This window comes from Homo sapiens, chromosome 20, assembly GCF_000001405.40.
Source record: "Homo sapiens chromosome 20, GRCh38.p14 Primary Assembly".
Taxonomy (NCBI): domain Eukaryota; kingdom Metazoa; phylum Chordata; class Mammalia; order Primates; family Hominidae; genus Homo; species Homo sapiens.
Window position 1 is genome coordinate 24,884,356 of NC_000020.11, and position 18,344 is coordinate 24,902,699.

Consider the following 18,344-nt stretch of genomic DNA (forward strand, 5'->3'; position numbering starts at 1 on the left):
CTTCTAGACACTCCCTGTAAGAAATGCTGAAGGGAATCCTGCATGTTGAAATGGAAGAACACTAGACAGTAATTTGAAGGCACATGAAGAAATTAAAATTTTAGTAAAGGAAAATACACAGGAAATTATAAAAGCTAGTATTGTTGAAACAATAATGTGTAACTTCACTTTTCTTTCATGATATAAGAGACTAACACATTTTAAAAAAAGACTAAAAGTTAGTATTATTGTAACTTTAGTTTATAACTCCACATTTGTTTTCCACTTTTTAAGAGACCAATGCATTAAAAAATTATTAGTTTATGTTTTGGACATGCAACGTATAAACATGTAATTCTGTGATATCAACAAATGAAGGGATGAGGGCAGAGCTCTTAAAGGAAGAGAATTTTTCTATGTTGTTAACGTTTAAGCTGTTATAAATTTAAATTAGAATATTATAACTTTAGGACGTTGCATGTAATCCCTATAGCAACAACAAAAGACATAACTAAAGAATACACACAAGTGGAAATGAGAAGGGACTTTAAATGTTTTACTACAAAAATATTGACTAAACATGACAGAATACACTAATGGAGGAAATGAGGGACACAAATGCAATAAGGCACACAGAAAGTAAATAGCCAAATGGCAGAAGTAAGTCTTTGTTTTAGTCCATTTGTGCTGCTATAACAGAATACCACACAGTAGGTAATTTACCAATATAAACTTATTTTCTCAAAGTTCTGGAGGCTGGGAAGTCAAAGTCCAAAGCACCTTTTTTGTATTATCACATGACAAAAGGCAGAAGGGCAAAAGACACAAGGGCATCAAACTCAACCATTTAAAAGGGCATTAATCCCACCCACAATAAAAGAGCCTTCATGACCTAATCACCTCTCAGAGGCCCCACTCCTTAGCACTGTTGCTATGGCAATTAAATTTTAACATGAGTTTTGCAGGGGACTAATATTCAAACCATAGCACCTTGTTATTACTAATTAAGTGTAAAAGGGCTTAAGCTTTCCAACCAAAAGACAGGGATTTGCAGAATGGATTTTTAAAATCATGATCCAAATGCATGCTGTCTATGAGAAACTTACTTTAGATCCAAAGAGGTTGAAAGTGAAAGAATGAAAAAAGATATTTCATGTAAATAGTGACCAAAAGAGAGCAATCATGGCTATACTAATATGAGACAAAATAGACTTTAAACTTCAAAAGATTGCAAGAGACATAAAGGATATTATATATTAATAAAAGCTTCACTTCACAAGAAAATATAACACTCTTCAAAAAGTGTTATATATTTTGAATTGAAGCTCTTGTGAAAAGCTTCAATTCGCAAGAAAATATAAACATTTATACATCTAACAACAGACCATCAAAATATATAAAGCAAAACTTGATAGAATTGAAAGTAAAAACAGGCAGTCCTACAATAAAATTTGGAGACATCAATACCCTACTCTCAATAATAGACAAAATAACTAGACAGAAGATAAGTAAGAAAACAGAAGATTTGAACAATACCTACTAGATCTAACAAACGTCTAAAGAACAGTCTACCCAGCAACAACAGAATACATAGTCTTCTCAAGTGCACTTGAGAAGTTTCCAGGATAGGCCATATGTTAGGCAACAAATTAAATTTCAATAGGTTTCAAAAGATATGTATCACATGAATTATCTTCTCCAAGCATGACAGTATATAATTACAAACCAATAACAGGGAAAACTGAAAAATTTGCAAAGCTTTAGAAATTAAACAACACACTCTTAATCAATGGATCAAAGAAGAATTCCAAAAGAAAATTAGAAAATACTTACAGACAAATGAAAATAAAAATACAACATACCAAAATTTATGGGAGACAGTGAAAGCAGTTCTAAGGGAGAAATGTATAGCTATCAATGCTTACATTAAAAAAAAAAAAAGACAGATCTCTCAAATCAACAACTTAACTTTATATCTTAGGAACAAACTAAACCCAAAACTAACAGAAGAAATGATAAAGACTAGAGACAAGTTAAATAGAGAATATAAAAATAAGAGAAAATTAACAAAACCAAAATTTGTTTTTTCAAATCTTTAGCTAGATGGACTAAGCAAAAAGAGAAGACTCAAGTTACTAAAATCAGAAATGAAAGTGGGGACATCACCATCAATTCTACAGCAATAAAAAGGATTATAAGATAGTACCAAGAGCAACTACACTCCAACAAATTAGATAACTTAGATGAAATGGGAAAATGTCTATAAATACAAAATCTACCAAGATTAAACCACAAAAAAATAGAAAATCTGAATAGATCTGTAACTACTAAGGAAATTGAATCACTAATCAAAAATCTCCTGACAAAGAAAAGCCCTGTAGCTGATTGGTTTCACTACTGAATTCTACAAAACATTTAAAGAAGAACTAACACCACTCCTCAAACTTTTCAAAAAAGATTGAAAAGGAAGAGACACTGCCTAATTCATTCTATGAAGCTAGTATTCCCTGATACTAAAGTCAGGTAAAGATATTATGAACAAAACATCCTTTCATGATAAAAGCACTGCAAAAGTAGTAATAGAAGGAAACTACCTCAAGATAATAAAAACCATATATTAACACCCTACAGCAAACACCATACTCAATGGTGAAAGACTGAAAGCTTTTCCGCTAAGATTGGGAACAAAGCAAGGATCCCTGCCATCAAAACTTCTATATAACACTGTACTAGAAGTCTTGCCAGAACAATTAAGCATGAAAAAATAATGAAAGGAATTTAAATAAGAAAGAAAGAAGTAAAATTGTCTTTGCTCATAGATAATATTATCTCATATGTAGAAAACCCTGAGGATTTCACCAAAACACTGCTAGAACTAAGAAACAAATTCAGTGAAGCAGCAGCGAAGTCCACACACAAAAGTCAATATTTGCATTTCTATATACTAACAATGGAAAAAATCCATAAAGGAAATTAAGATAACGACTCCATTTGCAATACTTAGGAATTAACCTAACCAAGGAAATAAAAGTTTTGTACAATAAAAACTATAAAATATTTCTGAAAAAACATCAAATAAGGCATAAATAAATGGAAGACACTCCTGATTATAGATTGGGATACCTAATATTGCTGAAATGTCAATATTAGGCAAAGAAAATCTACATATTTAATGCAGTCCCTATCAAAATTTCAATGATGTGTTTTAGAGAAATTTTTAAAAACCCATTCTGAAATTTATACTGAATATCATGAAACCCTAAATTGTCAAGAAAATTCTGAAGTTGGAGAATCAAATTATATCTATCTGATAAGGAATTGTTATCCAGAATACATAGAGAATTCCTAAAACTCAATGACAAAAAACAAACAACCCAATTTAAAAATGGGCAGACAGACATCTAGACCAATGAAATAGACTAGGCAGGCCAAAAATAAACCCTCACAATAATGTCCAAATAATTCTCAACAAAGGTGCCAAGACCATTCAGTAGAAAAAGATCTCTTTTCAACAAATGGGCTGAGCAAACTGGATTTCCACATGCAAAATGATAAAGTTAGACTCTTACCTAATACCATATACAAAGATTAACTCAACAGGGATCAAAGATCTAAATGTAAGAGGTAAAACTATGAAACTCTTACAAGAAAAATAGGGGGAATCTTCATGAAAGTGGATTTGGCAGTGTTTTCTTAGATATGACACCAAAGGTGCAGGCAACAAAAGAAAAAAAAGTAGACAAATTAGACTTTATTTTGTAAAAATTTAAAAATTTTGTGCATTAAAAGACACTATCAACAAAGTAAGAGGGCAATCCATAGAATGGGAGAAATTATTTGCAAATTATATCTATCTGATAAGGGATTGTTATCCAGAATACATAGAGAATTCCTAAAACTCAATGACGAAAAACAAACAACCCAATTTAAAAATGGGCAAAGAACTTTAATAGACATTTATCTAAAGAAGATGTAAAAATGATCAATAAGCAGACGGAAAGATGTTCAATATCACTATTAGGGAAATACAAATCAAAACTCTAATGAGCTACCACCTCACATCTATTAGGGTGGCTATTATCAAAAGAAAACAGAAAATAAGATGAATTGGTGAAGACGTGAAGCAATTGAAACCCTTGTACACTGTTGATAGGAATATAAAATGGTGCAGACACTGTGGAAAACAATATGGCGGTTCCTCAAAAAATTGAGCATAGAATTACCACATGATGCAGCAATTTTACTTCAGGTCATGTAGTCAAAAGAAAGCAGAGCCTCAAAAAGATATGTGTACACCCATTCACAATAGCTAAAACATGGAAGAAATCCAAGTGTCCATCAATGGATGAAAGAATAAGTGAAATTTGGTGCACACAGAAAATGAAATTTGGTGCATACAGAAAGTGAAATTTGGTGCATACAGAGAATCTATATGGAATCTCACCTCTGAAAAGGAAAGAAATTCTGACACACACTACAACATACACAAACCTTGAGGAGCTTATACTAAATGAAATAAGCCAACCCCAAAAAGACAAATATCATAGGACTCCCTTATATGAGGCACTTATAGTAGTCCAAATCATAGAGACAGTAAGTTGGAATGGTGTTGCCAGGGGCTGGGGGGAGGGTAGAATGAGGAGTTAGTGTTTAATGGGCATAGAGCTTCCGTTTTGCAAAATAAAGAGTTCTGGAGATGGATGGTGGTGGTGGTTGCACAATGATATGAATGTACCTAATACCACTGAACTCTACACTTAAAAATGGTTAAGGCCAGGCATGGTGGCTCACACCTGTAATGCCAGCATTTTGAGAGACCGAGGCAGATAGACCACTTGAGGCCAGGATCTCGAGACCAGCTTGGACAACATGGTGAAACCCTGTCTCTACTAAAAATACAAAAATTAGCCTGGCATGGTGGCAGGCGCCTGTAATCCCAGCTACTCGGGTGGCTGAGGCACAAGAGTCACTTGAGCCCAGGAGGCAGAGGTTGCAGTGAGCCGAGACCACCCCACTGCACTCCAGCCTGGGTGACAGAGTGAGACTCAGGCTCAAAAAAAAAAAAAAAAAAAAAGATGGTTAAAATGGAAATCTTATGTTTCTTATGTTATGTGTGTTTTATCACAATAAAAAAACTGGAAAAATATCTTTGATAAAAACGTTTGTTAAGTCTTAGCACATTAGGAGTACAAAGACATTTGCCCAACCTAACAAGTTGAGCAAAAAGACTCGAGCAAACCTCATACACAATGCACAAAGTTGAAAAGCAGACCCCTTTAAAATCAGAACATAACAAGGACATCTGTGTTCACAACTTCTATTCAACATCCACTGGAGGTGCTTAGCCAGCAAAAGAAGACAAGTAAAATTCTTTTTTAAGCATGTAAGAATTGGAAAGGAGGAAACAAATGTGCCAATTACAATTGATTTGGCTGTCTACATAGAAAACCCAAGGAAAAAGAAGTGACAGGCAAATTATTAGAATTCAAATTTAGCAAGAGCCCTAGATAATGAAATCATATTCAAAACTCAACTGTATTTCTATAGACCAGAAAAACATAGAAAATTTGAAAAATAACAGTTACAGTGGTTTACTTTTTAATTAAATCAATTTTAAAAGTGCATAAAAATAAGTCTAACAAAAGATACATGAGACTTTATGGGGGGGAAATGCATAAGATTGATTGAGAGACATTTTAAAAGATCTAAATATTTTAAAATACATTTTATTGTGTATATTCGAGATTTACAATATGATGTTTTAGGATATGTATGGATAGGAAAATGGTTAAATGAAAAGCTATGGATAGGAGGACTTGATATCACAATGTTAGTCCTTCACAACCATCAGTGGATTTAATGTAATCCCATCAAAATCTTCATAAGATTTTTTTTTGGAAATTGACACGTTGGTTCTAAAATGCACGTGGAGAGTCAAAGGCCTTAGCAAAGCCCACACCTACCTGAGGAGGGAAAGTCCAGGGGAAGACTTGCCCTACTTGAGACTTGCCCTACAACTCAATATAAAACCAAATAATTCACACTGAGATAAAGAGTGGGCAAGAACAGAACAGAATGCAGAGTCCAGAAACAGACCCCGAGTGCACGCAACCTAGTGTAAGGCAAAGGCAGAGCTTCAGACCAGTGGAGAGGGACATGCATGAGTGCCGTGGAAGAGAGTGAAAATGGGTCGCCAGCTCTGCCATACACACAACCGATTCCGGCTGGATGGAGACTAAATGCACATGTAGCACCATGAAGACTTTAGGAGCTAACACAAGAAAATATCGTCAGGACTCTATAGAAGAAAACGGTTCATTCAACAAGACATGAGATTCGATACTGGTACATTTGCTTTTGTTATTTAAAAATGTTCAACAGATGCCAGTCTACAGAGATTGGAAAGATAAGTCAAACACTAGGAGAATATTTGCAAGGTATGTTTCTTAAAAGAGATTTTGAAGCCACAATATATGCAGATCTCTTTAAAAATATAAAAATTACAAACAATCTAATGGGAAAACACATAGATTTGCATTTCACTGAAGACAAACCCCAAATGGTCAGTAAACAGATGAAAAGGTGCTTAACTTCATTTCTAATCAGAGAATTCAAAATATAACCGTAAAGAATTACAACTTCACAGCAACCAGACTGGGGAAGAAATGAAAACTTTAAATCTGAAAATTTAAGACTGGGCCAGAATGTGGAGCTAGGGGAACTCTTGCTCATAGGAAAAGTAACTGGTACACCCAACAAGAAAACCATTTGCCCTCAGCTAGAAAGGCTGCAAGAGACCATTTCCTGCAACTGGAAATTCTGTTTCCCAACAATGCCCTAGAGAACCTTCTAAAAAGTGCATTGCTTATGGCCACATATACATGCAATAATAATACTAAAACATGGATAGAAAAGCTGAATATCCGCTTCCGAATAGTTGGAGGGAGGGGACTGTAGTTAAGGATGTGCAGAAATGGCTTTCAACTGTGCCAATAATGTTTGTTTCTTTAAAAAATAAGTTAATCTGAAGCAAAGAGGATAAATCATGAACACTGGTTGAATCTGAGTGACAGGTGTACAGTGATAGGACCGTGACGCTTTTCTGTAAGTTTGAAATATTTCATAATTTTAAAGTCAGTATCAGTTTTAAAGAGCAAGAACCTCGGTTAGCTTTGTAGTCCTGGTGGAGTGGCTGGTCTCTCTTCTATGGAGCCAGAATCTGCCCTGAAATTTATGAACAAGGAGGAAAAATATCCCAAAAAGAAGGTGCTGGGTTAGGACCTAGGCAAAGGGGGAGTGTGGAACTTTACAGTGGTTTAGCAGGAGGGAGGCCACTACAGCGTTCGGGAGTCTAAGGGTGCGCTTGTGAAATCTGCCCGCAGTGTTAAGGGGAGTCAGGTGCACTCTTAATCCGATTACACATGATCAGCCTCTGCGGGGAGGTGGAGATGGAGGCCCTCGCCAGCCACACCCTCTGAGCTGCCTGCCTTTCCCCAGGATCCCGAGATGACTGGCACCCACCATTCTCTTCCCAGCATCCCTGGAGCTTCCAGGCAGCCGGTACTCGGGATGGGGTGAGAAGCAAGGCACCGGGAAGGGCCCGCATACAGCCGCAGCAGCAGCAACAACCGCGCAGCCTTCGGGGAATGCCTCCTGGGGGTCAGAAGCCTGAGGGCTCCTGTCCTTGGTGATCCAGCTTCCTTCCAAAGGGCCCCGAGGTTCTCGAGACTCAAGGACCCGGACGGGAGCCCCTCCCAGCCTTTGCGATTGTGGCGGCCACAGCTTCCCCTGTGGAGGTGGTCCTCACAGGGGTAGATGGGCCTGAGACGTGCACAGAATCCGCTCCCAGGAGGGCAAAGGCCAGCGGGACCCCAGATGCCGCCCTTCTGTTGTCCTCTCACAACAGGAACATCGTGGCTCGAAATCTGGCCCTGGGTGTAAACCACTCCAGCAGGCTCGGGGTGTAGACTGATCTCAGCCGCCCACCCTTGCTGCACGGACACCCCCAGCCCCGCAGATGCCCTGCAACAGACGGAAACGTCCTAACAATTCCAAATGTCTCACGTCTCTGGGAGTGCCCACAACGAACATCCATTCCCTGCATGCCTTTGGCCAACCCTAATGGCTACAGGTGCCCGGTCCAGCTATGTCAATGAGGACACACTGGGGTCACCTCCTCTCCTTGAAGAAATACCTTTCTTTCCAACAGCCAGGGCCCCCTGTCTCCGGCCACAGGGGCTGTCTTCTGCCCTTTTGGACAGGTGCAGCTTCTCTTTTCTACCCTCACTAGGCTCTCACCCGCCGGCAGGCTGTGCTGAGAGGTTCATTGAGCCAACAGGGGCTAATCTCCCGGATGCCTCCCACTCCCTGGGGCCTGAGCAGCATCTGTGTGAGGAGACGGGCTGGCTGGTGGAGAGCAAGGGACCGCAAGGGAGGGGGTGAGCAGGGTCTTGAGCGTGGGCTTGAGCGAGCTGCAGGCTTGGCAGGGGTTTAGAGGCGAGGGCAGTGGCCCCAACCTGTGCCAAACTCTGGCCCATTCATGGGAGGTCTCACGAGGTCTGGGTAGGTGGTAGGGCTCTCTCGGGGTCCTGACTCAGTTAGGACTTGGCCCATTTGGGGAGCAAAACACCTCAAGCAGTCATTTGGTCACAATACCAAATTTTATGACCGAGTGGCATGAGAAGCAGAGTCCCCCAGACTCGGGCATCCCGGCGTGGGGTCCTCGCCTGGGGCCACCTGATGAGTGCTCGGGATGAGGTCAGACTCGGGCATCCCAGGGTGGGGTCCTCGCCTGGGGCCACCTGATGAGTGCTTGGCGTGAGGTCCAGATTGGAGGACCCTGGCCAAGGCCCTGCCCCCATGTGGGGGGATGGACATCCAAGGTGGGGCTGGAAATGGGGGAGTGACATGTAGGAGGGAGAGGAGGTGGAGGTGGGCGAGAAATGGGGGAGGACCCAGCAAGGCACAGGAACTGGATGGCATCTTATAGCATGGAAGATCACGGCATTTCCTCCACTGTGTGGCAGCTCCCCTACATCCAAAGACCTCGTATGGGTTCCACTGCTGGCGAAAGCCAAGTAAACTCTCAGACCAACCTTCCAGTAGATAAAAACTCTAGGCAGAACACAAAGTCAACCACCTGCAGGTCTGAGGAGCCCCCGGGACAGGCAGATGCCAGTCAGGCACTGACGTGTAGAGGAAAGGGGACCTGAGGGAGTTTCTGATGCCCACATTCCGCCCTGTGGTGTCCCCCACCAGCACCTGAAGCAGCTGGAAGTCTAGGAGCAAATGCGCAGAAAAGGAGAGGACAACATGGGGCTGCCACAGCCTTTCCGAGAGCAGGCAGGTGGAGCCCCAAGTCCCGCACAGCCTGCCTGACCCCGCTGAGCTTGAATCCCAAGCATCTGACTGGGCTCCCACGAACCCCCTGTGGATTTTGCACAAGCCCCTGAACTCTCCCAGCGGCAGCACACCCAGAGCTGTCAAGAATGCAGACTCCCAGGCCCTGCCCTAGCTAAACTGAATCAGAGTCTCTGTGTGGGGCCCAGGACTTTTTTTAAACAAGATCCGCACCTGACTCACATGCATGCCAAAGTTTGAGAAGCAAGCCAAAGGTTCTCTCTATCTCTGAAGTAATAGGTTTGGGGTCTTCAGTCTTCAGTTAGGGGATGGGAGTGTGAGGCTGCAGGGCCAGTGACCTGGGCCACATTGGAGCTCTGCAATCTGGGTACAATGCTGGGCTTACTCACCAAACCCAAATTCAGCTGCAGTTTGCTTGGAAGGCAGAATTAGGACCCCTCACTGCAGTGAGAATGAATCGAGGTCACGCATGGAAGCAGCTTGCTCATAGCGAATGCTCTTGGTGCTTCATAACTGCTAGCTGTGGTCGTGGCAGTAAGGGCCAAGGTGTGCTCATGGCTGCAGAGCAAAGGGCAGGGAGACTATCTCCCTCTTCTCAGGTTCCGCAGGATCCTACGGATGCGGTAAAGTTACTGGAAGACCACTCCAAGCTCAGGGTGTACTGGACACTCCCCCTGCAGGGCTCCCTGTAATGGGAGTTGTTACATGGATGATTTCCACCCCCGTGAAGCAAACTGCAGGACGAAAAAATGCTGAGAATGGTCCATTTTTCCCACCCTCTGTTCCTTACTAAATGCAGAGTCCAGTGGTGTCCAGATACATGGGGCCCTGTTCCTGTCCTCTTCCCACATCCCAAATCCACCCAGGCTCTAGAGCTGCCTCAGGGATGGGGCAGTGAGCATGGGGTGCAGATCAGCCTTCAGTGGACATGACCAAGAAGAGGCAACTCAGCCCAGCCCACATCAACAGCTGAAGAAAGTGTGGCACAGTAGAGACAGGCCCCGGCTCTAGACCCAGACGTCTGGGATTCAGATCCTGCCTTGCAGCTTCTCACTGCTGACCTTGGGCAGTTATGTGACCATTTTGTGCCGTGGTGTCCTCAGTCATGAAATTGAGAGAATGACAGTTTATCATTACATTATGCCTCATAGGATAGAAGTGGCGTGAGGATTGATAGGAGCTTAGGAAGCTCAGGAGGGGGCCTGCACATATTAATGCTCAATAGATGCTGCTTGTCATGACCCCATTTGGGATCCATAAAAACACAAAATCCAAGCAAGTATGTTCTCACAGCTGAGAGGGGAGGGACTTGTGTGGAAGTCGATCATACAAATCAGGTCATTTTTGTCATACCCAACTAAAACAGAGTTGAGAGGCCAGGGGAGAAAACCACTCAAGGCACAAGACATTGCTCAAAAATGTAATTCTCTGCAAGCCTGGCTGCTGAGACTGCCTGCTATTGCCTGAAACCAGTTTTATCTGTGGCTACTGAAACAAGCTGCTACAACTCTAAGACTAATTTTACCCACCAAGGTCACTCACCAGTCAGAGCCTGCCAGCTCCCATAACCTTAAAAGTGACAATGAGCATCCTGGACAAACAATACATCCTTTCTTTGTGTAAAACTGCAACCTCCTCTTTGTCCTTTGGATATAGTGAAGACCACTCAATCTGTGAGAACACCCCTGAATACTATGTTCTCAATTGCTATAAAGAACTACTAGACTGGGTAATTTATAAAGAAAAGAGGTTGAATTCGCTCACGGTTCCACAACCTGTACAGGAAGTATGGCTGGGGAGGCCTCACGAAACGTACAATCATGGCAGAAGGCAAAGGGGAAGCAGGCATGTCCTACATGGCTGGAGCAGGAAGAAGAGAGAGCAGGAGGAGGTGCTATGAACTTTTAACAACTAGATCTCATGATAACTCACTCACTATCACAAGAACGGCAAGGGGAAGTCCACCGCATGATCCAGTCACCACCCACCAGGCCCCTCCTCCAACACTGGGGATCCCAATTTGACATGAGATTTGGACGGGGACACAAATCCAAACTACATCAGCCTCAAACTACTATTATTGCATCCCAAATAAAACAGTAAATTTAGAGATTTCTCTCCACATTTTTTATTTGACTTCAACACTTGGAACCATTGTTCTTCACTCAATACTACTGAGCCTTTTGCTGGGAGGGCACGAAGACCTGGGCCAGCCCTCAAGAGCCACCAATGGTACCCTGTCTGTCATGCCACCTGCGTCCTATGGGAAGGGAGACTGCAGGACTGAGTCAAGGACCACGCAGCCCTAGGGAGGGCTACTTCCAAGGAGTCTCATCAGCGGGGTGGGAAGAGAGTGCTGGTCCCCTCATTTAAGAGAGACATTGACTAACTGGCCAGGAATGCCTTCCCAAAACCAGGATGAGGGTGCTGCAATCAAATTTGTTTCCGATTCAGGGAAAGCAGGGCCCTCCAACCATGAAATGGGCTGGCCACCAAATGCAGTCACGCAAACACTGGAAATTTTATGGAAGAGCCATCCCGGGATCCCCTTACACACAGCTTACACATGGAGATTGTGGGATTCCAGTCACAAACTTGTGACTCATGTGGGAGGCTTGTATGTTCCCTGCATATGTCCTGTGGCCATGGGAAGCTAGACCCATCTCTACAAGTGCTCTGAGGTCAATAGCATCCACGCAGCCCCTTTCGCAGCTCTAACCTGCTGTGGTGCAGACTGCGTGTGTGTATCGTGTTTTTGCATGTCAGCATTAAGACATGCACAGCTGCCACTTGATGTGTGACCCTTGTCTGGAGGCAGATTCAATCAAAACAGTTGTGAGAAGTTCCCATCTTCCTGGTGGGGGGAATGAGACAGTGTTAGGAATGGGCCATGACAGAGCAGGGAGGTTATGTTCTTGTAGAAAGTCCTCACCAGGCAGGGATGTGTAATAAAGTATCTTCTAGTGAAATGACATGATGTGTGGGATTTGCTTCAAAACATTCCAACAAGAAAAAATGGGTAGTTTCTGTCTTGGGGCTGGGAGGCATAGATAACAGAGGCCTGGCAACACCTGCCAAGGGCAGAAGCCATGATGTGAACACGGGGACTCATTATACTGTTCTTCTACTACTGTATATGCTGGACATTTTATAATAAAGAGTTAAATCATTTTGATCACTGTTTTTAAGGCTTGTCTGTGTGTAAAAACACACACAAACACATACACACATAGTTTTTCCTCTGCGTTCTGTATGGCAGAACCACCTGACAGCAACAACTCAAGCTCATCCTAAGAATGACCCTAGGGTCTAAGAAGGATGTGGGCTGGGTCCCGAGCTAGGGAATCAGGAGTGGCCAACCTGGAGGCTCACACCTTATCTGCAAAGGACTTTTGCAGATAAGACCCCTGACTCATTCCTTGGAAATCAGAACATGCAAGGAAGCAAGGCCCTTTGTTTTGGGTTAAATGGAGGTTGCCAGGTGGAGGGTGCTAAGTGAAAATGCTAGAGAACTGCATGCTTTTTGTGAACGGCAGCAGTTTTCCTGTCCAGCCAACCACTCCTGGATTGCCCGTTATGTAAGTCCTTGATAAACCCTACATCTCGTTCCACAGCTATGGGTCTCTTCTTCAGCCTCTCAGTCACATTGGTGTCAACAGGATCCAGCAGGACATTTTTACACGGCAATAAACACAAAATGCTTCCATGACCAAATATGGGGGAGCCTCCCCACACACTAAGCAAGCGATTCTGCAGCAGACACCAGCGGGGTGTCCTCTAATTCGATTCATTTCCAACCCTGTCTACCTGGAGACAGAGCCAAATCACACAGCTCAGTTCCCAAGGGTGCTCCCCCACCCCATCTTGTGAGGCCAGTGTGAGCCCCAGGTTATGACCTGTGCTTCTGATGGACTGGCTATAAATCAGGGGTTCCCATGACCCCTTGCTTGGGTTCAGCTAATTTGCTAGAGTGGCTCACAGAACTCAGAGAAACACATTTACTGGTTTATTATAAAGGATATTACAAAGGATATAGATGAAGAGATGTGTAAGGCTAGGTATGAAGAAGGGACACGGAGCTTCCACACCTTCCTGGGCACCACCCTCCAGGAACCTCCATGCATTCTGCTATCTGGAAGCTCCAGGAACCCAGTCCTTCTGGGGTTTGTGGAGGCTTCACTGTGTAGGCATAATCGACTAAACCACTGGCCATTGGTGATCAACTCGACCCCCAGCCTCTCTCCCCTCCCCAGAGGTCAGGGGTTTAGGCTGAAAACCTTAACCCTCAAACCTGCCTTGGTGTTTAAGATGACCAGCCCCACCCTGAAACTACCCAGGGCACCCAGCCACCAGCTATCGCATTAGGATATAAAAGACATTCTTTGTGCTAGAGATTCCGCAGGTTTTAGGAGTTGTGTGTTAGGAAATGGGTCAAAGACCAAATACAGATCTCAGGTATCAGAGTGAGTAACCATCTCCAGCAGCCCAGCCAGGCTCGGGAGTGTGGATGTGCACTGGCCTCCTCCACCTGCACCCAGGGACCTCACAATGCGGCTGGAATTGGCATGGGTGGAAGTACCTATGCCTGAAAACCAATAAGGGCCTCTCTCTCACTTTCTTTTTCTTCATATAACCAGTAGAGAAAGAAAAACAAACAAACAAACAACCCTTATTATCTGAGGAATGCAAAGCTCCTTTAAATTATCAGGCTCAGAACAGCTTTGGAATGAAACAGCAGTCAGTGCTGCATTCGCCCCTGAAGCTAAATCATCACCTCCTGAAGGCAGCTGCCACATGGGCTCTGGACTGATGTCATGCAACCATCAAACACCAAGGGCTGATGCCATCACTCACACCCTGCAGCTTGACAGCAGGAGCCACTCTGTAACCGATGTAGGATTTTTCTTCTCAGTCACTTTGCAAGCCAGGGACCCCCAGCCAGTGATGCCCCACTCGGGCCTCACTCAGCCATGCTGGCATGCCCCAGCTCACCTGTGTTATAGCTTGTACCTACATTCAGTGGTTCCCAAGCTCTTGTACCATACCCAGAGAGAAAGAGGATACACTGGACATTGAAGGGTGAGGAAGGCAGAGAAGATTTTTATCGAGCAATGAAAACAGCTTTCAGCAGAGAGGGGACCTGGGGCCTCTTATGGACTCAGAATGGGGAGTGCATGCTGATTGTGAGCATGCAAAAAAGGTTAAAGGGAGGACACCACTCAAAGGTGGCCACAACAGTGTAGAAAACCAATTAGGAAAGGGTAGATATTTGTAAAATAGGTGAAGGCTGGGGACCAATCAGAGGAAATCACACCAAACAGGAAGACAAGTTCTCAATCTGATCCAGTGATTTAACTTGTAGCTTGGCTTTCAGGGTTTGGATTGGAGGTGGGGCTTCACCGGGACCTGCCTCTATCTGCCTGGGCATTTGGCTGCCTCCTGCCTCTATCATTTCACCCCTCTGAAGAGGTACATCTAACTGCCATAAGAATAGGGACGATGACTGATCTTAACTGCTTCCTGCCAACAAGGGGCACTGTTTTGGGAAGACAACAGTGAGATTCTTATTGCACAGATGCAATAACCATATTGCCATAACTTAAGAATACTCACAAATAGTTTCCAAATTCTAGAGAAACCAGGCAGAGCAAAATAAATATGCACCAAATTTTGTTCACAGGGGAATATCTTACTTGATTCAAAGGTAGGCATGACAGTGTAGAAAAACAATTAGGAAAGGGTAGGTATATATAAAATAGGTGAAGGCTGGGGACCAATCAGAGGAAATCACACCAAAACAGGAGGACACATTCTCAATCCGGTCTGAGGATTTAACTGTAGCTTGGCTGTCAGGCTTTAAACTGCCTTCAGCTTGGAGGTGGGGTTTCACCAGGACCCATCCCATCTACCTGGGCATTTGGCTGCCTCCCGTTGCTATCATAATCAAAGCTCTTCCTGTGAAACACAGAGCACTCCTGTCAAACACTTTTATATCTGCACACTCATTTTCCCCTGTTTACCTTAAGAACCTGCTTATAACAAAAGCTGAACAGGAGCACTTCCCAAGGCAACTTGGAAATGTGTCCCAGGCAACTGGCCTCACTTTGGCTCAAGTAAACTCTTTAAATTACATTTTATGTCTCAGCCTCTTCCTTTTAGGTCAACACAGTTGATTACTATTTCCCAAAACCCCTCTGAACAGAGCCTTCTAACTCCTGCTCTGGCTGATGCATGCACCTCTAGACACACAGATTGGATCCTGTCCTCCAACTCCCAGTGGCTTCTCACAGGCAGCTGGCCTCACTGCAGTGGATATGCATGCTCCCCCTGGGGAAATCCCCTGGGATTTCCACCTCCAAGCATCTCTCCCACACCGCCCCTCACCTGGAGGGCCCTCTACACCCCTGCAGGCCCATGCTGCCGACCTTCAGGCCCAGGCTAAAGGGCACTTCCATGGAGCTTGTTACCTGCTGCGGGACACAAGTTCTCTCATGCCCCACTAACCTCTGCTTCCAACTGCCCATAGCACACATTACCTGTGCATTCCAGGAGGCCTGGGCTCCTACCAGTGGGATGGAGCAGGGACCCCTCACATGGGCCTGCTGGACCACCCCACACAAGGAAATAAAGGAAAATCTTGAGTTATTTCGAGGGTCTAATGAGGCTGGACCTGCAGTCAGACAGCTTGGAGTTGGTGGGGGTCGGGGGGTTCCGCTTTCCTCCCCTGATGCTGGGCGCCTCTGTGACTGTCCCAGCAGCTAGGCTGGCCACACATGTGGGTCACAGCTGAGACAGCCTACAGGCAAACTCACAGAAGACACCTCTATCTTCCTGTGGAATTCTCTCAGGGACACTCTCCCACCTAGAGGGCTGATTGATTTGTGAGTATGCTTAAAAAGGTCTAACTGCAAGGAGGAGCCAAGATGGCCAAATACGAACAGCTCCAGTCTACAGCTCCCAGCGTGAGCGATGCAGAAGATGGTGATTTCTGCATTTCCATCTGAGGTACCAGGTTCATCTCACTAGGGAGTGCCAGACAGTGGGCGCAGGTCAGTGGGTGTGTGCACCGTGCACGAGCCGAAGCAGGGCGAGGCATTGCCTCACTCGGGAAGTGCAAGGGGTCAGGGAGTTCCCTTTCTGAGTCTAAGAAAGTGGTGACAGACGGCACCTGGAAAATCAGGTCACTCCCACCCGAATACTGCGCTTTTCTGACGGGCTTGAAAAACGGTGCACCAGGAGATTATATCCCGCACCTGGCTTGGAGGGTCCTACGCCCACGGAGTCTCACTGATTGCTAGCACAGCAGTCTGAGATCAAACTGCAAGGCAGCAGCGAGGCTGGGGGAGGGGCGCCCGCCATTGCCCAGGCTTGCTTAGGTAAACAAAGCAACCAGGAAGCTCAAACTGGGTGGAGCCCACCACAGCTCAAGGAGGCCTGCCTGCCTCTGTAGGCTCCACCTCTGGGGGCAGGGCACAGACAAACAAAAAGACAGCAGTAACCTCTGCAGTCTTAAATTTCGCTGTCTGACAGCTTTGAAGAGAGCAGTGGTTGTCCCAGCACGCAGCTGGAGATATGAGAATGGGCAGACTGCCTCCTCAAGTGTGTCCCTGACCCCTGACCCCCAAGCAGCCTAACTGGGAGGCAACCCCCAGCAGGGGCACACTGACACCTCACATGGCAGGGTATTCCAACAGACCTGCAGCTGAGGGTCCTGTCTGTTAGAAGGAAAACTAACAAACAGAAAGGACATCCACACCAAAAACCCATCTCTACATCACCATCATCAAAGACCAAAAGTAGATAAAACCACAAAGATGGGGAAAAAACAGAGCAGAAAAACTGGAAACTCTAAAAAGCAGAGCGCCTCTCCTCCTCCAAAGGAATGCAGTTTCTCACCAGCAATGGAACAAAGCTGGATGGAGAATGACTTTGACGAGCTGAGAGAAGAAGTCTTCAGACGATCAAATTACGGGAGGACATTCAAACCAAGGGCAAAGAAGTTGAAAACTTTGAAAAAAATTTAGAAGAATGTATAACTAGAATAACCAATACAGAGAAGTGCTTAAAGGAGCTGATGGAGTTGAAAACCAAGGCTCGAGAACTACGTGAAGAATGCAGAAGCCTCAGGAGCCGATGCGATCAACTGGAAAAAAGGGTATCAGCGATGGAAGATGAAATGAATGAAATGAAGCGAGAAGGGAAGTTTAGAGAAAAAAGAATAAAAAGAAATGAGCAAAGCCTCCAAGAAATATGGGACTATGTGAAAAGACCAAATCTACGTCTGATTGGGGTACCTGAAAGCGATGGGGAGAATGGAACCAAGTTGGAAAACACTCTCCAGGATATTATCCAGGAGAACTTCCCCAATCTAGCAAGGCAGGCCAACGTTCAGATTCAGGAAATACAGAGAACGCCACAAAGATACTCCTCGAGAAGAGCAACTCCAAGACACATAATTGTTAGATTCACCAAAGTTGAAATGAAGGAAAAAATATTAAGGGCAGCCAGAGAGAAACGTCAGGTTACCCTCAAAGGGAAGCCCATCGGACTAACAGCGGATCTCTCGGCAGAAACCCTACAAGCCAGAAGAGAGTGGGGGCCAATATTCAACATTCTTAAAGAAAAGAATTTTCAATCCAGAATTTCATATCCAGCCAAACTAAGCTTCATAAGCGAAGGAGAAATAAAATACTTTACAGATAAGCAAATGCTGAGAGATTTTGTCACCACCAGGCCTGCCCTAAAAGAGCTCCTGAAGGAAGCACTAAACATGGAAAGGAACAACCAGTACCAGCCGCTGCAAAATCATGCCAAAATGTAAAGACCATCCGGACTAGGAAGAAACTGCATCAACTAACGAGCAAAATAACCAGCTAACATCATAATGACAGGATCAAATTCACACATAACAATATTAACTTTAAATGTAAATGGACTAAATGCTCCAATTAAAAGACACAGACTGGCAAATTGGATAAAGAGTCAAGACCCATCACTGTGCTGTA

General features: G+C 44.3%; 1 annotated feature.

Moving 5' to 3' along the window:
* Positions 16,372 to 16,551: a silencer, noted in NCBI's record as "fragment chr20:24881363-24881542 (GRCh37/hg19 assembly coordinates)". NCBI's record gives its function as "represses an EF-1alpha promoter that drives an FKBP-Casp9 reporter gene in an ReSE screen in HepG2 liver carcinoma cells {active_cell/tissue: HepG2}" and the evidence as "EXISTENCE:reporter gene assay evidence [ECO:0000049][PMID:32094911]".